A 26,814-nucleotide genomic window follows, 5' to 3' on the forward strand; every position below is an offset into this window, starting at 1 on the left:
TGAGCTCCCTGCCGGCTGCAGCCTAAGGCACAGCACTCAGAAATTCAGCAAACACACTCACAGGAGCGCCAGCGCAAGCACCTCCGGCGCGCCGCGTGGTGCACTGACCTAATTGAAAGTGTCAGGCCAGCAAGTCCCACGTAACATCAAAGGACAGTCAGCGAGAAAGGAAGGACAGGTCCACTGGCGGCAGCGCTGGCTGGGTGGGGGCCCCGTGGGGGCGGAGAGGAGACAGGAGGAAGCCTTGGGGTCCCCAGCAATATGTGGGGATGCCAGGCATCCCCCCTACCCTGAAGCCTGGGCAGTCCTTGGTAACATTCCAGAGTCTCCAGCCTCCCCTCCCCCATCTGCCGTTTAAATCACGTGCTTTGAGGCAGTGAGTTTTAGCTCAGAGGCTGGCTGGAACGTGGCGGTAGCTGTCAGCTCATAGGAGGGGGGAAGCTTGGGTCCTGCTGCTGGGGGGCCTGCTGCATGCCAGCCAGGGTCTTCTGTGGGTGCTAACACAGCCCCTCTTGCTGGTACTTTTCCACTGGTAATGGGCAAGAGACTCCTGTTCACTTATTTCTACATTTCCCTGGTTGACTTATTTATTTTTACCTATCTTCCCCAACAAGAAGTCAGGCAGAAACCAACAGCACAGAGCAGCCTGGAAGCTGGCACTCCCCCATGGCCCGACTGATCCTCGTGGTGGAAAGTTTAGTGCTAATCACCCCCTAAAGACCCCTCCTGCCCTCTGGGGAAGCCAGTGCCCCTGCACTTTGGGGAAGGTGGCACTGTGCCCCAGGCCATGTGCGCCAGGCCAGGGAGATGCAGGCATCAGGGATACTCTGAGGGAACTTGGCCCTGCTGCAGGCACAGGCTTCCCCTGGGGTCCTGGGACCACTGCCTCCACAGGGGAGAATAGCAGGCCCAGGCAGAGGCTGAGCTCCCCCAGAAGCCAGGGAACGGGGGGGACATGGGCAGGGCTATGACCCCAGGGCTCTGGCGAGGGAAGCGTCAGACCTGGAAGTGTTGGAGGGTCTCCATGGTCAGAAAGCCATTCCCATGCGGCCACTGCAGTGCTGCACGGGGAGGCTTCCTGGGAGCCCCACGGCCTGAGACAGGGGGTCCTAGAAACTCTGACCCCACTCTTTCCCAAAGACCCTGACAGAGCCCCATCTGCCCTCTGCTTCTACCTGTCCTCAGGTGGGGTGGGGCGGGGCTCATCCCTTTGCGAGGGCCTCACTGTACTCAGGGCTGATCTTTTATCACTGAACACTGGCAGCAAAGGCCTGTCCCCAGTTATCTCAGCGAGAGGGCTGAAGGTATGCTCCCCCTGCAGGAGAGCAGGGCTGGGAGAAGTCACGTGGGGCAGAGGGCCACGCTCCCACCCCTGCTGTGTGACCTCCATCAACTGCCACTTAGGCAGAGGCTTCTCTCTCAGCCTCAGTGTTCTAATCAAGAAAATGAAGCAGCAAATTCTAGGGTTTGATCTCCAGCTGAAAATTCTGGGGTTTGATGAAATCTTCCACCCAAGGAATATTTGTTGGAGCACCTACTATATCCTTAGTGTGTATCTGTTCTTCTAGGACTTGAGTGGCAGCAGCCAACGCAGCCAGGGAGGGCTTCCTGGAGGAGGGTCCTTGGCAACTCAGCCTGCAGGAGCAGAGGCCTGGCTGGAGTCTCCACCTCCAGCAGCAACACTGAGCTCAAACAAGATGGCAGCCCTGGAACCCCATTCCCTGCCTATGCTCGGGGGGAGAGGGGGAAGCGCCCCTGCTCTGGTGCTGCCTGGGGTGTGGGGACCACGGGCTCACTGAGCAGTGCAGCCCAACTTTCTCCCTGACTCTCTAAAGGCAGGCAGCGGAGTGGAGTGGTGACAGACGATGGGCTAGTGGGGAGTTCTGGAAGGCGACTGGATTTACAGGAAACTCTGGAAAGCTCAAAAATACCAATGGTGCAGAGGAGAAGAGCTGCCAGGCTCCTGAAGACAGGCGCTCATCGCTGCATCTCCTGACACCTGTGTGGTCCTGAGGACCCAGTAGACACTCAATAAGTGGTCCTTGGCTAAAAGTCACTGCAGTCCCCGGCACATTCTTGGTATACCGTCGGCACTCGATAGATGAGTATGGAAGGGGTATTATTTCCCAGCTGTGCTGCAGCCACGCCTGCCGTCCAGCCCAGGGTCCACTTGGGAAGGCCAGCCTCCGTGCCAGGGTGCCCCTCTGGCCTGGCATGGCTGCCTGGGTGGGGGATGGCAGGTGGTCCTCAGCAAGGCTGCCAGACCCTGGCCGTGAAGTCCACCTGGGGAGGTAAGCCCCGTCTAGATCTCCATGGAGAGTGCCGGCTACACAAACAGCTGCCAGGACGACCCCAGGCCAAAGTCCCAGCTTCAACACACAGGGGGCTGAGAGGATGGGCTCTGCTTTAGGGCTGCGCCCACCAAGCCCACCCCGGGCGCTGCTCTGCAGCAGCTGGAGAGGAAGTGTTTTTTCCACACCGCTGTGTGACACAAAGGCCGGATAGTTCACTACCTGCCACGGCGAGTCCGGTCATTTTGGTGAGTGGCTTCCCCCATCACTGCCAGGGTTTGGCATTCACTATTTTTCCATTTTTAAATAGGAACAAACATAAATGATAAAACACCTTCTGATGAAGGGAGGCCTGGAACTGATAGGCCTTGGAAAATTTTTTTCCACAAATAACAAGAGAATTCACAGCCCCAAAGGGCGGGGTCTCCCCGGCCAGCGCTCCTCTGCCCTGCCGGCCTCTGTTCACACTGCAGGGCGATTCTAGTGCATTAGCGCCGACAAACACTGGTTAGCAAGGAAAACAGAAACGGGCGGCTTGCCAGAAATGGGGACCTTCACTCCTGGAGTTTTTTACAAACTTTCTCCCCAGGGCCCCCAGGGCTTGGCCCCAAACTCAGGCCCAGGGCTGGAGCAGAGGTGACAGCAGACAGGCAGGGAACACTGTAGGGGAGCAACTGCCGCCTGGAAACTGCATAGGGGCGCGGAAATGATGCTTGGGTGACGGCAGAGACCCAGCCTGGCACCTTCTTTCTTCACACAACTGAGCTCTTATCAGTTACCACTTCAATATGGAATAATTCAGTATCAAGAATAGAGCCATTTCCTCAAAACCTCCAGTCAGCTGTGACGGGCAGGGCACAGTGATGTGACCGCTTACCCAGGCCGGGCAAACGCGGAGCTTGGAGGATCCACCCGGCCACCTGCCATGTATGGGTCAGTTAACAAGGAGCATCTCCAAGTCTCCTCAGAAGCCAGAAGCCCTTGCAGGGGTTCACAGAATGGGTCCAGGGGCAGGGGCTAAACAATGACTTGGAGGGAGACCAGGGAATTGGAAGAGTAAAAGCAACAGCACATATTGCTTCTGCAGTGCTCGCAGGAGTCTTTGCGAATGCAGTGGCGGTTCTGTGCCCAGGGGGCCACAGAGGTGGCTGCTTACAGCCAGAGGGCACTGGCGGGGCAGCTCTGGCTTCTCAGGAGCTGAGGAGATCAGCCTCCCTGCAACCCATCTGGGCACCCCTTGGCTCTCAGATTGGGACACTAGGTGGAAAAGTAGGCCCTTTCCTTCTCTAGAGAACGGGGAAGAGGCAGATCTGTTACGAGGCCCTAAAGCCCACCCTACATGGACTCGTGGTGGGAGCCTCTGTGCTACACACACAATTCTCACAACACACACGATTCTCACAACACACACGATTCTCACAGCCACTCTGTTTTGGGAGAAGGGAAGGCACAGAAGACTAACAGCTGCCGGGTACATCCTATATGCTGGGCAGGTGCTAAGAACCGTGTTGAACCTGTATGACAGTGCTGCTAGGTTGGAATTCACTTCTGTATTACAGAGGTTAAATCACACGGCCACATGGCCAAGGTCCTACAAACTGCCAGTGTATGGCAGAGCTAGAATTCAAACAAGGGGCTCTTTTGCTCCACAACGCGCGCTCCCCCACCGTGCTACCCTTCCTGCCACCATCCTGGGCAATTCCAGGGCTCGTTCCTTCCCCCTTGGCCCCTGTCCCTCTGGAATGGCAGAGAACCTCCATCAGATCTGTGCCACAAGCGCCATGTGCCCCAGGAGCCCCGGGTTAGGGCCATTTGGCACCGTTCTTCTCTGCCAATGTCCGGTGCTCTCCTGACTCTGCTCCCGTCTCCTGTGCCTGCCTTTCCCCCATCACAGTTCAAACCATCTGAGTCCAGTGGTGTCAGCAAACTGCCTCTCTGAAAGAGAAAAAGGCCTTGATTTGTGGCGCCTGCCAATTTCCGTGGTATAAACACTTCCACCATGGCCGATTCCAAGCTACCGAGGTGATGTCATTGTGGGTGGAGCCAGGGAGAGGTGAGAGGAAGGGACATACTGGCATCAGCTGCACTGCATGCAAGTGTGAACCAGCAGGACCTGCAAGAGGCACTGGCACTAGAGCAGAGACAACACAGAAGACACAGGTGACACTGGATGTCACAAAACACACTGATCCCATCATCCAAAGCACACTGTCGTCTTGATGGTTGAGGGGAGCAACACAAAAATACTATCCTTTTCAGTGTTGAGGATTCAGAAAGGGAAAGGAGATACATTTTCTTCTATCACAGAACAATGGAACGAGGAGAGGCTCAAAGCATCATTGAAACATCCTCAGAACACTTCCCACATCTAGAAAAATGAGAAGGCTCTGTCTCCTCCCATTCAGGCTCCAAACGGTGGCTCAGCAACACAGCCTTCTGAGCTTGATTTCCCTACAGCCAATTTCCTTGTAAACTGGGCTGTGTCCATGTCATACTTGCTGGTGGGTGTGTGGGCGTCTGAGTGGCAGTAAGGGTAGCTGGTGGGGGCTGCTGGCGGCAAGGAAGGTGAGATTCTAGCTGGCTTTCTTTGATCATTGCAAAGGCAGAAGCAGATTTGTCACCTTTGTGTAATATATCAGGCAGCAGGTAAAGAATTTAACAGCTTGTGGCAGTTCTAATTAGAGAGCCAATTATAACTCAATTGACCTGCCTTGCTTTGAAAGGCCTGGAAAAATGCATGTTGTCCTCAGGAAGAGGCAGATTTTGCTTCTAGTTTGTTCTGGGAGATCCCCGCAGGGATCGCTCACTTGCGCTTTGGTTCTGGCCCCATGCATCTGTGTGGTGCGGGGTGCCCTGATGTAGAGAATGAGAGAGAACCTGCAGGGACACTGATCCTGCAGTGGGCATGCTCCGCTCCTCTGTTTATGAAGAAAGACGCGGCATCACATCTCACTGGCTCCCCCGAGGGGCTGGGCCGGCAGCTTCTGCTTCACTCAGAAGGTCACTGGCCAGCATTCAACTGGATCTAATCAAGACTGAACTGGCAAGGGTGGACCCCAGGCATACTGTACATGTGTGCACGTGTGTGTGCATGTCCAAGATTCCCTTCAGGAGCAGTCACTGTTGTTATGGGCTTGGGGTCACCCACTGTCCCCTGAGGGATGGACACCTGGCAAGAGAATCAGGTTTCAAACAGGCATAAAGAGGGGACGCTTCACATTTCTCCTGAGAACCAAGGTGCGGCATTTGTTGTTAGACACCACTGAAGTCTCTCTGGCTCACACATGTGATCACATCTAATTTTCCCACAGCCCGGTGGGATGAACACCATCGTCCCCACATACAGAAAGAAAAACTGAGGCCCAGAGAATCGACATGACTTGCCCAAGGGCCCCAGCTCCTCCCTGTGGAAGCCGTTTCTAATTCAAGCCACTTCTGCTCCTGACACTTATCCAAGAGTGATTTTGCTGAGACCCTTCCTGTGCACGGTGGCTTGGTGGACATCATATAAACCATGGCAGGGAAGAGGGCTGGCTACAGCCCTAAGCTGAGAGCAGACTGGGGCTGTGGAAACAGGAGGGTTGGCGAGTCTGGCAAAGCCAGCCCCAAATGCTTGCTATAGCTGGGATTAGCAAGGTGGACTGAAAAAACGTATGAACATCAGAACCTACCTGTCCTCAGGAGCCTCATTTCCCTCCTGCTCCCCAAACGTGGGTGCTCCTTGGGTTCTGTCCTAGGCCCTTTCTCTTTCCTGCTCTCTGGAATTTATATCTCAGGCAGTCTTGTCTCCTCCCATAGCTTCGGGTACCATGTACCAGCTGCTGCTGCCCCCAAAACCATCGCCCCAGCCCGGCCATGCCCCAACCTCCAGACCTACCCTGGCTGGAAGAGGCAACCTTTCCAGGAAAAACCCCGGTCAGCCCACCTCCACACAGCCAACCAGACTTGCCATCACCCTTCGTTCAGTACCTTCCCCTCCCTCTGTGTCCCCTCATGTTCGTGAAGGCATCTTACCCAACCAGGCTCCTGAACCATGTGCCTGAGTCAGCCTCAAACCCTCTGGTTCCCTCACCAACCCTTGTGAAGTCTCCCTTTTCAATACTCCCACCTTGGACTGTCAACGTGTTATGACAAGCTGAGTCCAGACCTTAGTGTCTCTTACTTTTCACCTAACCTATCCTCCACAGCTTCCAGTGCAATCTCTCTAAAATGCAGACCTAATCACATTCACTCACTTGTTTAAACTGTATCTTGAAAAAGTTCCAACCTGCAGAAAAGCAGCTAACAAAATGGACATCTCTAGACCTACCACCTACATTTAACAACCATTCATCTTTTCTGTATCTGCTTCATCTGTTGGAGGCAAAGGCTAGTATTTTAAAGTAAATTGCAGGCACTGTGACATTTTACCCCTAAATACTTCAGGATGAATCTCTAAAAAATAAGGACATTTCCTTATATAACCATGTAACCATATCCCACCTAACAAAATGAACAGTACCTCCATTCCATCATCCACTAGCCTTTCCACACTCAAACTTGCCCGAATGTCCCATGCATAAGCCACCTCCAAAAGCTGGCTTATTGCCTATGTCAACTCCACCTGTCTTCCCACTTGTGGGAGAGTCTGCGCCTCTACTCGGCTGCCAGCACTTGGCCCACAAACCACGAGCACAGACCCGCACCTCCCTCCCCCAACCCCTGCCGCACCATACCCTGCACATCTGTCTATCAGAGTCTCCTTGACAACCCTTATCCTCACTTGTATATGTTAACATCTCTCCCTATAGCCTTTCAGTACCAGAGGGGAGGGACTAGGATAGAGTCATGTTAACATCCTCAGGTCCTAGTCCAGTATTGGACTCAAACTACATTATCTTACATGTATCATCCCATTTAATCCCTCCAACAATCCTAGGAGGCTGCTATGCTGAATCAATAACTGGTGACTGAGTAAACGTGATGCTTAAAGGTAAAGCTCGAAGGACACAGGCATGTCTCGGAGCTACCACAGGTGCAGCTCCAGGCCACTGTAATCAATCAAATGTCACAATCGAGCAAGTCCCAGGAACTTTTTGGTGTCCCAGTGCACCTAAAAGGTGTGTTTACACTACAGTGTGTCTATTAAGTGTGTAATACCATTATACCTAAAACAAGTGCATAACTTAATTACAAAACATCTTGTTGCTAAAAAATGTTAACAATCATGTGACCCTCAGCAAGTGATACGCTTTTTGCTGGTGGATGGTCTGGCCTCCATGTTGATGGCTGCTGACTGATCAGGGTGGTGGATGCTGGAAGGTGAGGCCCTGGGGCAGTTTCCTACAATAAGACAACAGTGGGTACAATAAGACTCACTGATGGACCCTTCCTTGGACAAAAGAGCTCTCTGTAGCATGTGATTCTGCTTAATAGCATTTTACCTACAGCAGAACTTCTTTCAAAGTTGGAGTCCATCCTCTCTAACCCTGCTGCTGCATTATCAATCAAGCTGATATAATATTCTAAATTCAACAATGTTCACAATGTCTTCACCAGGAGTAGATTCCATCTCACAAAAACACTTTGTTGCCTCATCCACAAGAAGCAATGCCTTATCCATTCAAGTTTTATGAGACTGCAGTAATTCAGTCACATCTCCGGGCTCCATTCTTGCTCTCTTGCTATTCCCACCACGTCTGCTGTTGTTTCCTCCAACAAAGTCTTGACCCCCTCAAAGTCATCCATGAGGGTCAGAATCAATTTCTTCCAACCTCCTGTTAATGTTGATATTTAGACCTCCTCCCATGAATCATGGATGATCTTAATGGCATCTAGAATGCTGTATCCTTTCTAGAAGGTTTTCAGTTTACTTTGCCCAGATCCATCAGAGGAATCACTATCTATGTCTAAATCGCTCCTTGATCCATGGGCTGTAAAGTGGATGCTGTGTTAGCAGGCATGAAGATAACAGTCATCTCCTTGTACAACTCCAGCAGAGCTCTTGGGTAACCAAGTACATTGTCACTGAACAATAATATTTTGAGAGGAATCTTTTTCTCTGAATAAGTGTCAACAGTGGGCATAAAATAGTCATTGAACCATGCTTTAAACAGGTGTGCCATCATCCAGGCTTTCTTGTTCCATTTACAGAGCACAGGCAGAGTCAATTTCGCATAATTCTTAAGGGCCCTAGGATTTTCAAAACGGTGAATGAACACTGGCTTCAACTCAAAGTCACCAATTGCATCAGCCCCTAACAAAAGAACCAGCATATCCATTGAAGCTTTGTAGCCAGGCACTGACTTCTCCTTTGTAGCTATGAAAGTCCTAGATGGCATCTTTTTCCAATAGGAGGCTGTTTCATCTACATTAAAAAACTGCTGGGCTGGGCACAGTGGTTCAGGCCTGTAATTTCAACACTTTTGAGAGGCAGAGTTGGGAGGATTGCTTGAAGCCAGGAATTTGAGACCAGCATGGGAAACATAGTGAGATCCCTATCTGCACAAAAAACTTAAAAAATTAGCGGGTTGTGGTGATACGTGCCTATAGCCCTAGCTACTTGGGAGGCTGAGGCAGGAGAATCACTTGAGCCCGGGAGTTCAAGGCTGCAGTGAGCTATGACTGCGCTGCTGCACTCCAGCTTGGGAGGCAGAGTGAGACCTCAAAAAATAAATAAATAAAAATAAAAATCTGTTGTTGACTATAGCCACCTTCTTAGCTGGATCTTCTGGATAACTTGCTGCAGCTTCTCTGTCTGCACTTGTTGCTTCACTTTGCACTTTTATGTTATGAGACAGCTTCTTAAACCTCATGAACTAACGTCTGCTAGCTTCCAACTTTTCTTCTGCAGATTCCTCACCTCTCTCAGCCTTCAGAGAACTGAAGAGAGCTGGGAACTTGCTCTGGATTAGGCTTTGGCTTAAGGGAATATTGTGGCTGGTCTGATCTTCTATCCAGACCACTCAAACTTTCTCCCTATCAGCAATAAGGCTGTTTCGCTTTCTTATCATTGGAGTATTCACTGGAATAGCACTTTTAATTTCCTTGAACAACTTTTCCTTTGTATTCGCAACTTGGCTAACTGGTGCAAGAGGCCTCACTTCTGGCCTGTCTCAGCTTTTGACATGCCTTCCTCACTAAGCTTAATCCTTTCTAGCTTTTTTTTTTTTTTTTTTTTTGAGACGGAGTCTTGCTCTGTTGCCAGGCTAGAGTGCTGTGGCGTGATCTCGGCTCACTGCAACCTCCAACTCCCTGGTTCAAGGGATTCTCCTGCCTCTGCCTCCCGAGTAGCTGGGATTACAGGCATGCGCCACCATGCCCGGCTAATTTTTGTATTTTTAGTAGAGATGGGGTTTCACTGTGTTGGCCAGGATGGTCTCGATCTCCTGACCCCGTGATCTGCCCGCCTCGGCCTCCCAATGTGCTGGGATTACAGGCATGAGCCACCGCGCCTGGCCAATCCTTTCTAGCTTTTGATTTAAAGTAAGAAACATGCCACTCTTCCTTTCACTTGAACACTCACAGGCCATTGTAAGGTTATTAATGATCCTCATTTCAATATTACTGTGTCTCAGGGAATAGGGAGGTCCAAGGAGAGGGAAAAAGATGGCGGAACAGCTGGTCAGTGTAGCAGTCAGGACCACATTTATTAAGTTTGCTGTCTTATATGGGTGTGGTTCATGGTGCCCCCAAACAATTACAATAGTAATATCAAAGATCACAACAGATGTAATAATAATAAAAGAATTTTAAAATATTGTGAGAATTTCCAAAGTGTGACACAGAGAAACACAGTGAGCATGTGCTGTTGGAAAAATGGCACTGATAGACCAGGCACGGTGGCTCATGCCTGTAATCCCAGCACTTTGGGAGGCTGAGGTGAGCAGATCACCTGAGCTCAGGAGTTTGAGACCAGCCTGGCCAATATGTGGAATCCCTGTCTCTACTAAAAATACAAAAACTAGCTGGGCATGGTGGCAGGTGCCCAGCTACTTGGGAGGCTGAGGCAGGAGAATCGCTTGAACCTGGGAGGCGGAGGTTGCAGTGAGCCAAGATCGCACCACTGTACTCCAGCATGGGGAACAAAAGTGAAACTCTATCTCCAAAAAAAAAAAAAGAAGGCACTGATAGATTTGCTCAATGCAAGGTTGCCACAAATCTTCAATTAGTAAAAAATGAGTATCTGCAAAGTGCAATAAGACAAAGGGCAATAAGACAAGGTGTGTCTGTGCCTGTACCCTCCTCCTTCACAAGCCCTTGGGGTGACTGACTAGTTGATGTTCTGAAAGACTCAAAAAAAGAAAAAAAAGAATGAAAACACTAACACCTGGAAAGGTATTTTAAGAGACAGTTGTTATATAAATACCACACAGATGAGAAAACGGAGGAAGCCAACTGGAGGAGGGAAGGGAGAGATCACGTGTCGTTCATCAGTGAACGTGGTGGGCAGTAAAGCAGGCAAGGCCCATGGGGTGGGGAATTTCCTACTGGGGCAAAGTGGTCTAGAGCCCTGGAACCCTGGCAGAGGCTCCCCTTTAGCTAAGGAGTTCTCTAAGGGCTTTTCCAAAGCTCTCAGTGACTTGGAGTGTTCTGGACATTGAGGCCCTCAGACCTTGGTTGGTTTGTTCCATTCTCTCCTTTCCCCAGGTGATTGCTGAGGCCTCCGGGAGCCAGGTAACAGGGAAGGCCACCTCCTGACCCCAGACTGGGCTTGCACCAAACGCTCTGGGTGGAGCCTCACACAATTGCACTCTCATTCCTTGGTCAGCTGCACTCATCAATTTGAAAGGGGAAGGCGGGGGCGGGGAGGGGTGGTCTCCAGGGCCAGGGCCCAGAGCAGGCATCCGTGGATCTGTGCAGGGGAGAGAGGCCTGCCTTGGCTCCAGGTCAGCACCCCGCAAGAGCCTGAGGGTTTTAGACTTGGTGATTCTTGGTAGATCTGTCTTCCTTCCTCCTAAGCAACCCCACCTTGGCAACATGAGTGCCAAAGGCTAACCTGGAAACTTCTCTGTATCCAAATGAGCTCGTCTATCGACGCTGAGGCTGGCAACTCAGGCACGTCCTGGGCTCAGGGCAGCTGTGAGTGCAGGCATGCCACACAGCAGGGAGAGACACATCTAGGCGGGTAAGGGGCAAGAAGAGACACAAAGACTTCTTTCTAGTGGAGAGCGAAAGAGAAAGGCGCCAAGCTCAGTGGATGCTGCATGACCACGAGACCTAGAGCTGGGGCTGTCTGAGCCTCGGAGAACAATGAGAAACTCCCCCCGTCCATCAGAGTGGAGACAAAGTTCTCTAGGGCAGCGTTAGCCCTGGAGGAGTTCAGAGAGCTGATCTCTTTTACCTCCATCCCCACCCCCATCTCAAGAAGGCAGGTGCTAGTCTCCCATTTTACAGATAGGAAGAGTGGACATGAAACCTTCAAAAGCGATGGAGTCAGGATTCCTGGTGGGTTGGCCACTCACTGCTCTGGACCCTTGGTGAGTCCCTTCCCCTGTCTGGCCTCCGCTTCCCCATCTGTAAAAGGGGGTGATTAGATTAGCGCATTTCAATGGGATTCTCAGTCTGCAGTGCCTCTAACTCTCTGGTGAGTGTCAGGTCCAAAGGTTTCCATCTGCAACCGGTCCGTTTTAGGGACTCAGCCTCGATGCTGGGAGAGACTTCTTACAGGATATTCTCCCTAGACCTTTGGGCTCAGTGATTTAAACTCGGTCTGAAGGTCCAGATCACACGTGGGGTTGACACGGCCCAAAGAGAGCCCCCGAGCCCTCAATGGGGAGTCTCTGGGACCAGCACCAAATGGTGGGAAAGCAATTCAGGCCCAAGATGACTTGGAAGCAGCAGGCCCAGTTGGCACAGAATGCCACATTCTGAGTGACAGCCATCCCCTCTGGCTGAGTTCAGAGGCAGGCGGTGTGGGGGATGGGGGTGGCTGAGGAATGAAAGGCAGCAGCAGGGCTAAAATCCAGGGAGGTGGGAAGTAAGGAGCGGGAATCGGGACCAGAATCTGAGAACACAGAACAACCCACAGAAGTGAAAACGAAAGGCCTGATTCAAGCTAGGGAGCAAAGCAGGAAGGAGGTGGAACCTCAATGTCAAATCACACTGAAATAACGGGGCAGAATTTCCAAGAATAAATGGTTCGGCTAGAGTATGTCAGATTTTAAATGATTTTAGATCATAATTACTAATGACAGACTGAACTGTACTGCCCGTAATTAGTCATCTAAGACTCCAAGACAGAAAACAGAAATAAACACAGCATTCATTTTTTCCTTAAGCTGAAGCAAAGGAATGCCTAGTGACAAAAGGCACCGCATGCTTGCATTTCAGAGCCTGCCCTGGGCCCATGAAGCTTCTGGGTCTGTGGCTTTAGTCCTCGGTGAGGACAGGGTGGCCTGGTGCCATGCCTCCCTGGCCAGCACTGAGAAAAATGCTGCAGTGGTAGGAGAAATCCAAGCACCAAGCAGAAAATGTCTGCAGAGACTATCCCTGTGCCAAATGATGTTGTTTTGAGCAGGAGGGTTGCTGGGGAGAGGTGGGCAAGTAACCAAACAGGAGTCATGTGGATGGACGGCAGAGGTTCTTATTCCCAGGGACATTCCTTTTACTCCAAGGAGGACACAGATGCTCAAGAAGGAGAAAATATTATAAGCTAAAAAAGTGCAGTTTCAAAAGGATGTGAGGAAATAGCTTACATCATAAGAAAACTTCCAGTTACCTGATTCTCACCTCACACCTGTTCCACCAGTACCTCCCCCCACTCAATCCTCTCCACTGGGTTTGCCCCTCTGATGGGATTTGACAGGCCCATCTTTAATTGGTTATTGCCATCGCTATCACCTGCAGCCTCAAAGACAAGGTGGCAGGCACTGCAAACCCAGTGAGACCCGCATGGTCTCCATATCTCCTCCCCAGAGGAGCCCGCCCTCCTTAAGGCAGTGGTGAAAGCCATGAAAAGGCCTCGGTGCTGTGGAAAGCAGGGGAGGCTGCTTTCATCTAGGTTTGGGGTAAGGGTGGAGGCAACAGAAGAAACTCCCTCTCCCCGGACCAGGATGGGAGGAAGATCCTGCCTTGTACCGACACTGTGATCACAATCTACAGAGGGAACCGCCATATGCAGGGCTGAGGCTGTGTCCCAAGTCACCATCCAGGGATGAGAGTGTGTCCCAACAGACGACTGGGGAGTGACTAATAGAAACTCCACTAGCTGAGAATTCATCTGACCTGAGGGAGGAGGGGCCTGATGTCTAGCCTAGAGGGCAAGCTCCTCTGTGGAGGAGGGCAAGAGAGCACAGGGGGTCTGGCCCAGGAAAAGTGCAAATCCTTATAAATCATCATTTTGGTTTCTGGTTGGGAACTCAGTCTGTCAAGAGTGTGATTAGTGTGAGTCTGTTTCTCAGAGGGGGATCTTGTCTGAGTGAACTGAGAGAACAGAAGGACCAGGCCTTGGAGTCCTGTGAAGCCAACAGACACCTGAGCCTAGACATGCCTGCACCTGGACACGCCTGCGCCTGGACATGCCTACACAGGGACATAACAGCCCTCAGGCAGGTGCCTGCCCCCTGAGCCTCTCTCAGCTGTGATTGCCCATGTGGACAGAGAGCAAGCAGCCAGGGACACACATGTGGCCAGGGGAGACTCTGCAGGCTCCAGCAGGGCACTGTTCCACAGTAGTCTCTGTCGAAGGATAGTGACGCCCATGCCTTCCAAATGGGATACAGAGTCTGACAAGGAAGAGTATGCCTGGGGTCAACAGGGCTGAGTGTATGAACTTGGGGGTGGTGGTGACTCCCTCCACCAAGGGCCCTCAAGCACAGGCTCTCCTCCAGCCTTTTCCCATGTTCAGGCCCGGAGTCAACACTGCAGATCAGCCTGGGGACCCGGCTGTACCCAGCACACTGAGTGAGAGCCCCACTTACAGCCTAGCAGGGCCTCCCTGAGGTCTGGCTTGTAATACACTGACATCCCACTGTGCTGGAGTGTTCCATTAATCAGCCTGACCAAGCCTCGTGATCTCATGTCAAATCACATGGCTGCATCATCCAATCCTGCCTCGAAGTCATTTCCCGCACTCATTTGGTCAGCAAAGGCTGTGCCAAGGCCAAGCCAGCAAACACTCAAAGCCTCTGCACCAAGGCAGGAGCCCTGGCTGGAGAGAAACAGCTGGTTCTGATGACCTCTGCTCAAAATCCAACACTTTCTATCTCCGCCTAGGAACAAATCACCCCAGGGGCCTCCACCAATGCACTCTCCCACCCTTTTCCACCTCAAAACCAGGGCCCTGGCTCTGCAGAAACAGGCAGCAAGTCACACTCAAAAGCGAAGCATCGTGCTCGCGGCCGACCACGCACCGAGATATATTCTCATTTCGGCTCCTCCAACCAGTGAAAGTCAGTCACGCTGGTGCAGAAAGGGAAGCTCCATGGGGCCAGGAGATGACTCACTCACTGTCAAACAGACGCAAAGGATCTCCCAGCCCAGGCGCGACCTGGATTACAGAGAATGACAGCGACACTCAGAGCTGATATTTGCGGAGTGTGAGGCACCCTGCTAACTCATTTAACCCGCACAGCAACACCACCGGGCACTGTTATTACTCCCATTTCACTGTCGAGAAAAATGGAAGCACAGAGAGATGAAGGGACTTATCTCGGGGTACGCAGTTAGTAAGCGACACAGCTGGGACTGGAACCCAGGCAGCTGGCGCCAGCACCGTGCTCCCGATCTTTCCACCGCCTGTCACTGAAGCTCTGGGTTCCTAAGGGACCACACCAACATACGATTTCACGACTTTCTTGTTCTGCTTCTGCTCCTAACTTACAGGTGACCTGGGGCAGGTGACCAACAGCAGGGTCCCCATCAGTAAACAAGAAAGTCCCCTCTCACTGTGTACTAGGAGAGCACACGCAGCAGACACGACATATGAGGCTTCAAAGTTCTTTGTAGAGAAAGGTAATCCTTAAGCCAAGTATCAATAATTGTTGAAAGGGCTTCACACAGCTATCGAAGAAGCTAAAACTATCAAGCAGCTATCGAAGAGTGTGTGTCACCAGACAGAAGACAGAGCAAAGATCGAAGATGAAGTGTCCAGTAGGAGGCATCCAGTAGGAGGCACTACTTTGTCCTCGGCACTGTGAGTTGGAACTGCAGTTATAGCGAGGAAAGGCAAGAGAGAAATGAGGGCCTGTGCACTTTTCAGGGTCCTCTCAACAAGCACATGGACGCATTGGAAGGCTGGGCACTAAATACTTCATAAGCCTTGCTCTAGAGGAAAAAAAAGTTATTCTCCTCAATTTGGAAAACATTTTTTAATTATGAAAGAAAGCAAAATACAATTAACAGATGAAAAGGCCTTCTCACTGGACTATCATGAAGTTTTGTTTCCTGCCAGTCATTCTTTCTATGTATGGAAAGAAAACTGATACTTCGGATGAAAGAGATCCACGTCTAAAGATGGCCATTTGAAAGCGGGAAGGGTATTTCAAGTCTATTTCATCAGCTTAATTGGGCCTGGGCCTTATCCAGAGGAACAGAAGGGTTCAAAAGATGTCTTCTGAAGACGTTTCTCCAAGGGAAAACTGCAGATGTGCCAATGCGTGAGCCTGTCCTGCCTGTCTGGATCCTGGGTAGCCCTCACTAGGCTGATGGATAAACTGGACAGACACACAGACACCGAGTGCCAGTTTCTGGAGGAGCCCCCTGGGAAGTTCATCATCTTCATGCTGAATCTCTCCTCCCACAGGGACACAAACTGGAAAACATGGTGCCAACTAAGAAAATAGGAGACAGCAATTTTTCCCAAATCTCAATGAACAGATGGACAATTTAAGAGACGAGAGAGAGAGAAAAACACCAGTGTTTTATAATTTAGCAATGCCAGGCAAGCCGAAGCTCACCTTTTTCCCTCGATTCCAGCCCTCTCTGCCATACTTCCAGCTCATCACGCATAATGGGATGAGATGTTTTCACACAGCAAACAAGCATGTAAACTGGAAGACAGTTTAAAGAAAGCTCCGACTTCAGGCCCCTCTTTGAACTTCAGAAGAGCCACCTTCTCAGAGTGGTGTCGTTAGTCAGCAGTGTCGTTAGTCAGCCTTTGGAGCTGTTAAAACAACTGAAAATGTAGTCATAATCCATAAGACATATCCACTGCACCTCACATCGTGGGGCCATCTCCCAAACCTACCATCAATCTGCCGCACCTTCGGGTATTTCATAAGAAAATGCATTTTTCAAACAGCTCGGCCAATCTCTGCAAGTCTTCTGCTACTAATGTAGTCCCTTGAAATAGAACGGCAGAGCCAGTCCTCAAGTTTTTATATTTGATGTTATTCCAGATTTCTGATGTTTCAGAGAACAGAAGATCATAGAGGAACTCCTCAAAGACAGCCTGTGTATGAAACCTTTAGCCTGCAGCCATCTTGATTGAACTAAGAGGTTTTCTTGTCTCACAATCCGTCCACAGAAGACAAAAGAGCACTTTTGGGCCCACCATGCCCGGAACAAAAAGCTTATTCTATTATTAGATTGACCCCTTATGGTAACCTGAAAAATGTGTTTTTCCACCAAGCAGCGCTCCTGATCCAAGCTCCCTGCCAAATGCTTCCCATGCTCCACTCCACTCCCAACCCACCACACCTAAGACCCCTCCAGATGAGGCACATGGCCCCCAGCGTACTCTTTGGGCCAACTGCCTCAGCCCAACCCCTAGCCACCGCCCGTCTCTCCTCCCCATCACTTTCCCCTTCTCCTTGGTGAGCTTCACCAGTGGTCTTTTATCACTACTTCCTTGGGGCGGGGGTTGGGGGGCAGTGCGTGAAACACAGCCCCTCTGCCATCTTCTCACAAAGGGCTGATGGCTTTCTGTCCCTTTCCAGGCCCTCAGCCTTGCCTTGGAAACTTCATTTAAGGGGATGGCCCCTTCATGCTTTTAATCTAGATTTCGTCACTTCTCAGCATTGGCTGTGAAATATAATGGCCTCCGTCCTAGCCTTGGGGAATGCTCATCCTGCAGGTGGACGCAGCAGTTCTCCTCCTTCCCCACTGCAGGGTGGGGGCTCCATCTCACTGCTGTCCCGATGCTCTTTCCATGGTTCTCAGTGCATGGTCCCTCTCCGGCTCACGGTCCCTCTCAGCTCACGGTCCCTCTCCGGCTCACAGGCCCTCTCCGGCTCACGGTCCCTCTCCGGCTCACGGTCCCTCTCAGCTCACGGTCCCTCTCCGGCTCACAGGCCCTCTCCGCCTCACGGTCCCTCTCAGCTCACGGTCCCTCTCCGGCTCACGGTCTCTCTCAGCTCACGGTCCCTCTCCGGCTCACGGTCCCTCTCCGGCTCACGGTCCCTCTCCGGCTCACGGTCCCTCTCAGCTCACGGTCCCTCTCTGGCTCATGGTCCCTTTCGGGCTCATGGTCCCTCTCTGGCTCACGGTCCCTCTCGGCCCACAGGCCTCTTCAAAGCGGCCTCACCCCACTTCACTCCACTTGCTGTCCACTCCGCCAAGCCCTGGCTGACCCCTGCCATCTGCTTCTGCTTCACACCTTTTCTCAACCTGTCAAAGGGACTGGAGGCGGACCCGAGCCTCCTGCTAATATTCTCCAGCACACATTTGTTCCCTAGCAATACTTCCCATCCTGGCCTTATCAGCTCCCCTCCACGCAACCTTCTTGGCTCCCTTCCATGTTCTTCTCTCTCCTGAAAGCCCTTGTTCCCTTCTTACTTTCCAACCTCACACTTGCCCTCAAAAGCCCAGGCTGACGTTATCAGAGGGCAACCAGATGTCAGTGTTTGCACAGCCTGTCCCTGTCCTGGTGATTTTGTCCTTGGCCTGGGAATGACTGTCCAGGGATGCTGGTTCTCTGCTCCTCTGTCCACCATGAGCCATGCTTCTCTCCTCTCCCCACCCCAGAACATGGAATAACTGCTTTGGAAAAAGTTGCTCTATGTTTCTTTAATTCATTTTGCATACTGGGAGCTAAAGGCTTTTTAACATAGCACACGAATAAATGTAAATTTATACACTTATGCAAAAATAATACAAAAATATGCCTTTAGATTTTCTGGAAAAAGTCTGGTCAGTCTATGAATTCCTCCCCTTGTCAACAACATTACTTGGCAACTCCTTATCCCTCTAGCATGCTGCTCCCGTAATACCTGCCCATCCTCAGCAATCTCTGCCTCCCTTGTCTTGTGCTAACTCATTATTGCTAATAAACACATGATTTCTCTGCTCCCTTCTCACTACACATGAATTTAGACACATACATGAAGGCTAAAGCTATTAGAAGATCGTCCGTTTCCTCTGGGGTTGAATTTACATTTCTCTTGTCAAGTCTGACCTCTGATTTACTGTTCATGAATACTAAAGTCACTCTTGCTTTTTAACAATACTAACAGGTTTGCATTTCTGCTTAAGCCATAGCCCTCCTGCAAGCTGCTGATCTGGCACCTGCTGCCACTTACAACTCCTGGCATAACTGTTCTCTGCCGTCACATCAGCCACCTGACCACCACCTGTGACACAGACAATGAGGCTTCCTTCTCCCTAACAGCCCCCACTGACTGCTTGTCCCCTGGCTCCTTGCCTTCCTCTCTGAGCATCAGGGCTGCTGCAAGCACACTTTCTACCCTCTCCCATGATCCACGACCTGTCTCCCAGTTGGCTCCTTCCCTTGGAGCCTCCGTAGTTGGCTCTTTGATGCTCCCTAGGGCTCTGTTCTTTAAACTCCTTCTAGTCTTGACCTTCTGACCCTGGCCTCCCTGGCCTCCCCCTCGCCGCTCTCCCTGTGTGCCAGGCAACTGTCAACGCTCAGCTCTGTTTCCGCCACTCTCCGCCACACAGGTCGGGGCCCTGCCTCCTCCCTGGGGCTTGACCTGGTAAGACAGCCTCTCATCTCCCTGCTGACACCTTCCTCTTAACTCAGGGGCTTGCAAACCAATCCACCTTCCGTGAGGGTAGAGACAGAACCTTTTGTGACTTAGCAAGAGATGTCAGTTCTTGGGTTTAATCTGTCTGCATGTTGTATTGGCGCGGTTATCCTCATTTATATAGCTGAGGAAAATGAGGCACCAAGAGGGTGAATAACCTGTCCAAGGCCCCACAGCGAATGGGGCCAGAGCTGTGATTCTAACCCAGGCCAGCCTGGCTCCAGGGCCTCCTCCTGGGCCTCTAGGGTATACGTGAAGACCCCCTTCCTCCCTTCCTCCATCGAAGGGCACAGAAACACAGCTTCCCTGTGTAGCTTGTAGGGAAGAGGACAGAGAGGGAGTGTGATGTCTCAGGGCTGAAGAGCCTGTGGGGTCCATGGGCTGCCCCTCCACAGGCACCAGAGGGTCCTGCAGCACCAGTGGGAGGGGGGCCTGCCCTTGGCTGCATGGGGCTCCCCCTGGCTGTGGGCTGGGCTCCTGGGGACAGGCTGGGGAGAACACAGGCCAGGTGCATCATTTAGAAAATCACCAAGAAGGCGTGCTCAAGCTACCTTCGGGAGCCACACTGATCAGTCACTGGGCAAAGTTTCTGACTGCGAGACTCTAAACTCCTCAAATCTGTAGTCTCGCTCTTCTCATCCTGCCTCCAATCTGGATGGTTTTTCAATATCTCAGGATCCACGGAGAGAGGTTTTAATAGTTTATTATGATGACCCCTCTCTACTGGCAAGATCTCCAAAGCAGCTCATGTCTCTGAGCCTAGTAAGGCTCAGTCATTGCCGATGGACCCAGCAGGCGGGGCTCACCATGGCCCTAGTCTCACTCACCAGCTCCCTCGTGCTGGGTCAACTGCTTGCTCCTTTCAGAAAGGAAAGTGCCTGGCATGTGTCAGGCATCTCAGGTGTCTTGAAAAGCTCCAAAGGTGAAACAGAAAACTCTCCCGGTGCGATTTTCCTATTTGATCTTTTGTCTCATGTGTTCCCCTTGGGGATGAACAAGAAATACTTCCCTGAATAATTCATAGTCCCCGAGATGGAAACATGCAGCCTCTTTTTAATAAAAAGGCTGGGACATGGCGGGGATTGTACGTCTTCTAGATGCTCTCAGCAAAAGCACAGAGATCTGACAAGCTCTTTACAAATTCCTCTTCTAATAGTGAGAAAAAAATTAAAAGCCATGTAGTATTTTTAATCAAACAGACTAACATTTGGATAATATGTAAAATTATTTATAAATCTGTTTGGGGCCACAGAAGACTCACAAAGGGAAGTTGGAAAAAATTAAGTAGCTGTAATTATGGTAAGGTTTGATTTCTTTTTAAAACTGAAAATGACTGTCTTCAGTTTCCTATTTCATGAGCACCTACTAGGTGCCAGGAACTCTGCTAAGATTATTATGTAAATCATTTCATTCTTTCTCACAACATCCCACTGGGGTAGGAGCCCAATTCACCTAAACACAACAAGGTGCCTAAAGGTTAAGTGACAAGTCCGAGCTTCCCCAGGAGTCAGGACCAGGGCTTAGTTCGAGTGCAGATGTAACTTGTAAGCAGACACTCTTTCCATGGGGCCTAATTCCCAGTGCATCAGCATTCTTCTGCTGGAAACCAGCAGTTAGTGCCCAGCCCCTTTCTACATTTTGCAACATTACTATGAGAAATGGCAAGATAATGAAGGCTTTGGGATGCTTTGGGGAACATTTTACTTATTAGTTACAAAACCACATCCTATTAGTCTTGGACAGACACAGCCTGTCTAGTCAAATGCCTTCATTTTGCAGAAAGGACACTGAGGTGCTGAGAGCTTAGGGGCCTTTCCTGAGGTTAAAGAGCAAGCAGCTGATGTCGCTGGGACCAGAACTGTGTCCTCAGACTCCCTGTCCAGTGCTCACTCTTCCATATCACACACCACCATCTGGTTATGGGTGCTAAGCCTCCACGGGTGCGGACACGAAGGGCCCTGAGCTTTATAATAAAAGGCTCTTCTTTCCTGCGGTTCATGACATCAGCGATGTCTACTGCTAAAAATGAAACAACAATTCAGAACCAAAGCCCAGCATGCAGGCCCAGGGAACGTGGCACGGCTTTTCACAAGCTCCTCAGACCCTGGTAACTTGTGAGTTTCAATTCAGACCCTCGCAGGAAGATGACAGAGGACTGCCGAGGCAGCTGCACTAACACACGTTCATAACGGACAGAACCCTCCTGAGCGAGCAGTGTCCCCACCTAACTGAAACCGACACGGCCAGGTGGCCGGCTCCAGGGTCTCTCAAGAATGATCCATGGCAAGGGGTGGGAGCAGCAGGGCAACCCCAGGCTTTTGGCCCAGGCTGTAGACGAAGGATGTGCACTCGTTGAGCGCCGCCACACCCCTGTGCAGTGTGGACACTAGGGTGACTCATCTGCCTCCCACCTCTCAGGGCAACATGGCCAGACACCCCCGCTGGTAGGATGCTCCCTCCCAGCCAATGGCCTCAGAGACATGCTGGAGTCTCAGGCTCCCTTAAGGCAAGAGAGTCTCCCAGTTTGTAAAGTGTTCTGACTGTCATCCTGAAGTCTCCCCGGGATGTGGAAACCCCCGAAGGTGGCTACTGCAAGCAGCACAGAGGCTGAGATGACAGTGACAATGCCCCACGGCCACAAGAATGTCTTTATCAAACCCAGAGCCACAGGGTGGCTTAGACTGCTGGCCAGGAGACCACAGCACCTAACAGGATGTCGGGTAGGGCTGCTGAGGCTATACACAGCCAACTCTGGGGGTGCCATTTGCATAAACTATGGTAGAAACGGTGCCCTCTGGCTTCAGGCCATGTGACAGCCTGGCAAGCTAACTGCATGGGGCCTTTGGAAGCAGAAGAGGGTGTGAGGGTCATGTGCTACCTGCCGCTTCCAAGGGCTGTCCCCATGCCAGAGTAGGGGCCACCGCCGGGCTCGTGGACTCACCAGTCGCTGCATGCTCTTCACGTGGGTGGGGCTGATGGCTAAGGCCTCTTCATACCACCGCCGCGCCTCGTCCATGCTTCCCCGGAGCTCAGCAATCTGGCCGCGCATGTAGAGGACATTGTGGGACATTGGGAAGAGGTTGGCAGCTTCTTGGGTACAGGCTGTGGCTTCTGCAGGCTTCCCGATGCCGATATAGACTTCAGCTGTGAGGAGACAGCAACGGCACATGCTTTCCTGGTGCCCCTCTGAGGCCCTGCGAGCAGCCACCACTCTGATGTTCGTGTTCCCTGCACGGGAGTCTGGCGGGGCGCAGAGCCAGCTGATCCCTGCTCCAAGTGGAAACAGCTGCCGCTGACAGTCCCTCCTGCCCACTCCTATATGGGGACTGGAGTCACTCGTGTTGTGGGCCTTGCAGGGCAGGCATAGGTCACCACCAGGCAGGGAGCAGTGAGGCCTGCCTGGTCCCTGCCCCAACCTCTGAGGGCACCCACCCTCAGGGCCCACCCGGGGCTCCTCAGTGTCTGGACAGAGGCTGGCCCGGTCCAACCCTTGGCTCTGACCCCCATAGAAAAAGGGCCAGAATGAACAAGGGCACAAGCAGACCAGAGGCACCCAGACCCTCAGAGGGCAACGGCTCTGCCCTCTGACCCACTCTCCTGATGCCAAGAAGTATGATGGGGCTGCAGGCTGCAGCTATCATGTTCACAGGCGTGATGCAAGATGGCTGCCCCGCCACACCTGGCCCCTGAGCTCACCTCTGACCAGGGGAAGTTGATGCACCCTGTAAACTCTTATCTGTGTCACAGTGACAAAGCCCTTTGACAAGCCAAGCTATCGCTTTTAAAACAAGCAGGAAAATGACCCTGCTACCGATCCAGGCCTCAACTCTCTCACCTCCATGTGGAGCCAAACCCCTCTGCAGCCCTGGCCTCCCTGAAGAGCCCTTTTGAGTGTTTCCAAGGGCGGCCTCCCTGCCTCCCAGGTGCACACTTGTCGAATATCCAGGGGGAACGTGTCAACTGGCCCCGAGGGCCTCTTCTCCTGAGGCCTTGCCAATTGAGGCACCACCATCTTTCTAGTCAGCTGGGCCTGAGGCTTCAGGGACATCTGAATCACCCCCCACCCCTCTCCAGGGCCAGCAGGGCCACATGGTCAAGTCTGCAGCCCAGAGCCTCACGCAGAGGCCGCCCGCTCTGTCGGGGCTCATGGACCCCTTCTCCCACCTGCAGGCCAGACCCTTCCTCAGCACTCTTGCCTTGACCACTGGCGTATCCTGCAGTAAAAGAGGTTTGCACCCCTATCTCCCAGTTATGTGTATGTTTGTATGAATTAATATCTTACATGTCATATGATCCACAACAGCACACAAAATAGAAAGTTAAAAGAACAAAAATAAAAAAAGAAAGTTTAGGCAAGTTGCGGTGGCTTGTGCCTGTAATCCTAGTACTTTGGGAGGCCGAGGCGGGCGGATAGCTTGAGGTCAGGAGTTCGAAACCAGCCTGGCCAACATGGGGAAACCCCGTCTCTACCAAAAATACAAAAAATTAGCCGGGCGTGGTGTTGCACACCTGTAATCCCAACTACTAGGGAGGCTGAGGCAAGAGAATCACTTGAACCTGGGAGGTGGAGGTTGCAGTGAGCCAAGATCATGCCAGCCTGGGTGACAGAGTGAGACTCCGTCTGAAAAACAAAACAAAACAAAAAACACCAAACAACAACAACAACGAAAAAAACAAGAAAGTTTTACTATTTTCTTTGTGCACCTTACCCTGTCATCCCCTGGAGCCCACTTTGGAAACTGCCTCAATTATGCAGAGACTCCCCTCCCTGCCTCCTGCCCTGGCCATGAGCCTGTCCTCCACAGCTGCTGCCAGGTTAACCCTGAGGCCAACCTCTGGGGCGGCAGCCACCTGCTCCGAAGCCCTCCTTCTTCCCTGGGGCCTGTGGCTTCCGCGCCTGCCCAACAGGCAGCCAGGCCGAGGCCCTGTGCTCTGATTTTCTGCACCCACCGGAATATGGGCTGTAAGCGACATGAGGGCAGGGATGGTGTCTGTGCTGCTCCCTGCTGCGTCCCCAGGGACTAGAACAGTGCCTGGCACATAGTCAGAGCTCACTGAATCGCTGAATGGATGAAAGGTAACTAACAACAGCAGTAGCTGACACTTATTAAACATGTGCTTTGTACCTAGAGGCCTTCTCAGTTCTCATTTTATCTACATGGTGATCCAGTAGGTACTATTATTTTATCCCCATTGTCCAAATGAGGAAACTGAGGTGCAGAAAGCGTGAACACCCTGCCCAAGTTCTCAGGGCAAACTGGAGGCAGAGCTGGGATTAGAACCCCAGCCACCTGGCTGGGAGCCTGTGCTTGCAGCCCCCACAGAGAACAGCATCTCCTCTGGCCCAGGGTGATATCCGACTCCTCTGCAGCCCTCGGGAGCTTGGCACACTGCCCTTATCTGCTTCCTACCGCCTCCCGGAACCCCCGGGCTCTGGCCTTGCTAGTGCTGCTTCTGCACACACAGTGGGTGTCCCTGTCTCCACACTTGTGTCAATTCTATGGCCTGTGCCTGTAAAGCCATCACTGCAGCCTCCTTCAGGGCCCAGATGGATCCCGCCATCCCAGGGAGCTCTCTGACCACCCGCCTCAGCTGAAAGGAAAGCCCAGCCTCTGCAGCTCCTGATAGCCAGGTCCCTGTAAGTATTTTTGTGAGGTCTTGGGTATGCCAGGGATAGCCCTGGCAGGCGCTGGGGCAGATCCATCTTTCTGGCTCCCAGCTTCAGGCCTGGGGGCGGGGAAATGGCTGGTGTGTATCTCATGGCTGTGGTTAGTGGCGATGCTGCTGACCTTTGACCTCAATCAGCCTGGCCGGTCCCTCCCTCGAACATCTCACTTTCCTGGTGATATTTGTACCAACGACTGACTCCCCAGGCCTTCTCTCCCCAAGAGAAGGCCCTGGAAGAAGCGGGCCTCGCCTGGCCCAGATGCACACAGTGCCTTCTGTCTGTACTTGTGCCTGCCAGTCCCTCCTCGCTAGAGATAACGGGGCCCAGGGGCTTGTGGAGGGGCATACTGGGTGACTCCTGCAGACACAGAAACTCGAGCAATTCCAGCACCATGCACTGAGCCCTGAAGGTGACCGCCCAGCCATGCCTGCCTCCTGGTCTCAGAAGACTCAACTCAGAAGGTAACTCCTGAACTTCTATACTCACAGGGGACTCTATAGGGACAAAGAAGACATTTCTCTGTCCTTTAGTTTGGACCAGGCAAAACCTCTCCCTTCTGGGAGACAAACACCCTCCTAATGACACCATCGGGCTGTCTGATGCCTTTCAGTAACACAATTCCCTCAACGCCCTCACCAAAGAGTCAAATGTGTGCCCACTGAGGTTTTGGTTCTCGAGTGCAGTGGCAACACAGGGGAGCAGGACAGAGCGTCCCTCTCATTGCACGCCTGGCTCCTGCCTCACTGCCAAGCTGGGAGTGAGTTCACTTCCAAGATCCCAGTCCTGGAGATGCTGTGGGCTGGTGAGGCCGCCCAGCCTCTCCCAGTTAGAGCATTATGAACAAAGGCTGACATAGGAGAGCAGGGATGAACATGTCCAGAACAAGAATCAATGTGGAGAAAGCCATAAATGCCAATAAGACTGTGTGCATGTCATTCCTGCTCTCCAGGGGTCCTCCATGAGACCAAATGTGATTCCAAGTATCTCACTGGTCGCCAAGCCTGCCTAAGCCTCAGGCCTGATGTTCTCGCTCCCTTCACGTGATGGGGAAATGGGAGACACAGACGGAACGAAGTCAGGATCATGACGGTAAGGGAAAGAATCCAGCCCCCATGGCACTTTTCAGTGCTGTGGAAGTTGCTGGAGGAAACCTATGGCTCTGATAAGGCCTGTGACCCTGACAGATGTGACAGCAAAATGCACGGCCTAGGGTTACTCCCAAATCCCTCCGTTTTCAGCTCAAAAGGAAAGACTGAAGGCATGATGTCCTGCAGTGATTTTCAAACCATTTTTGCCAGTGAAGGCTGTTTCTTCCAAAGGGATCTTACCCCAGGATACAAAAGACTCCTGAGAGTGGGCAGTGTGGCTCCCTCTTGTTTGCCCCCCTCTCTCTGCCTCTGAGGCGCCACTGGGAACACTAGGGTTTCCAATTTGCAAGCCACAGTGTCATGAGAACATGGAGAACTTGGTTCTTGGCCCTGCGCCTCATGTGTGGCCTTGGGCAAGTCAATCACCTTCTCTGGGCCTGTCCACCTGTCAGGTGGGGGGCCTGTGCCTAGCCCATAGCTCTCCCAGGGCAGTGGCAGGCATCAGACAACACAGGAGTGGCAGGGATCAAGACAAGGCCGTGCCAAGGGATCAACCCTAGGCTGAGCATTTTCCTGCCACATCCATCAGGAGCACAGGCCTTATACCAGTGCCACAGGTTTCCTCCAGCAACTTCCATTCACCAGAAAGCCTGGAGCCCAAAGCGAGTCACAAATGGTGAGGGTAAGTAACTCTCAGTCAAGCCTAAGCTCTCTTGGAGACCGCAGGGTGAGGAAGCTGAGGTGCAAAGAGACAACTGGACTCATTTGAGCCCCGCAGCTCTATTTTGCCAGGTCAGAGTATTTGGGGGATCCAGGTCTAGCCTTTCCATTTCACCATGGCCCCTTAAGACAATGACTCTGAA

General features: G+C 52.0%; 1 protein-coding gene across 3 annotated transcripts in view, besides 4 other annotated features; it reads right to left on the bottom strand.

Annotated features, from left to right (window-relative positions):
- Positions 1-26,814, bottom strand: part of TTC7B (tetratricopeptide repeat domain 7B) — a 291,867-nt gene that overhangs the window by 31,406 nt on the left and 233,647 nt on the right. For all 3 annotated transcript variants that reach the window (NM_001320421.2, NM_001010854.2, NM_001401365.1), the window contains one exon: positions 22,137-22,339. In NM_001320421.2, coding sequence (NP_001307350.1) covers positions 22,137-22,339 — 203 coding nt within the window. The remainder of the gene's footprint in view (positions 1-22,136; positions 22,340-26,814) is intronic.
- Positions 13,597-14,097: an enhancer, noted in NCBI's record as "H3K4me1 hESC enhancer chr14:91035910-91036410 (GRCh37/hg19 assembly coordinates)". NCBI's record gives its function as "activates a minimal SCP1, AML or CMV promoter by ChIP-STARR-seq in naive and primed H9 embryonic stem cells {active_cell/tissue: H9 hESC(naive and primed)}" and the evidence as "EXISTENCE:reporter gene assay evidence [ECO:0000049][PMID:30033119]".
- Positions 14,098-14,598: an enhancer, noted in NCBI's record as "H3K4me1 hESC enhancer chr14:91036411-91036911 (GRCh37/hg19 assembly coordinates)". NCBI's record gives its function as "activates a minimal SCP1, AML or CMV promoter by ChIP-STARR-seq in naive H9 embryonic stem cells {active_cell/tissue: H9 hESC(naive)}" and the evidence as "EXISTENCE:reporter gene assay evidence [ECO:0000049][PMID:30033119]".
- Positions 15,378-16,577: an enhancer, noted in NCBI's record as "BRD4-independent group 4 enhancer chr14:91037691-91038890 (GRCh37/hg19 assembly coordinates)". NCBI's record gives its function as "activates an origin of replication core promoter dependent on BRD2, P300/CBP, MED14 and CDK7 cofactors, and independent of BRD4, by STARR-seq in HCT116 cells {active_cell/tissue: HCT116}" and the evidence as "EXISTENCE:reporter gene assay evidence [ECO:0000049][PMID:35650434]".
- Positions 18,411-19,284: an enhancer, noted in NCBI's record as "OCT4-NANOG-H3K4me1 hESC enhancer chr14:91040724-91041597 (GRCh37/hg19 assembly coordinates)". NCBI's record gives its function as "activates a minimal SCP1, AML or CMV promoter by ChIP-STARR-seq in primed H9 embryonic stem cells {active_cell/tissue: H9 hESC(primed)}" and the evidence as "EXISTENCE:reporter gene assay evidence [ECO:0000049][PMID:30033119]".

This window comes from Homo sapiens, chromosome 14 (assembly GCF_000001405.40).
Source record: "Homo sapiens chromosome 14, GRCh38.p14 Primary Assembly".
Taxonomy (NCBI): domain Eukaryota; kingdom Metazoa; phylum Chordata; class Mammalia; order Primates; family Hominidae; genus Homo; species Homo sapiens.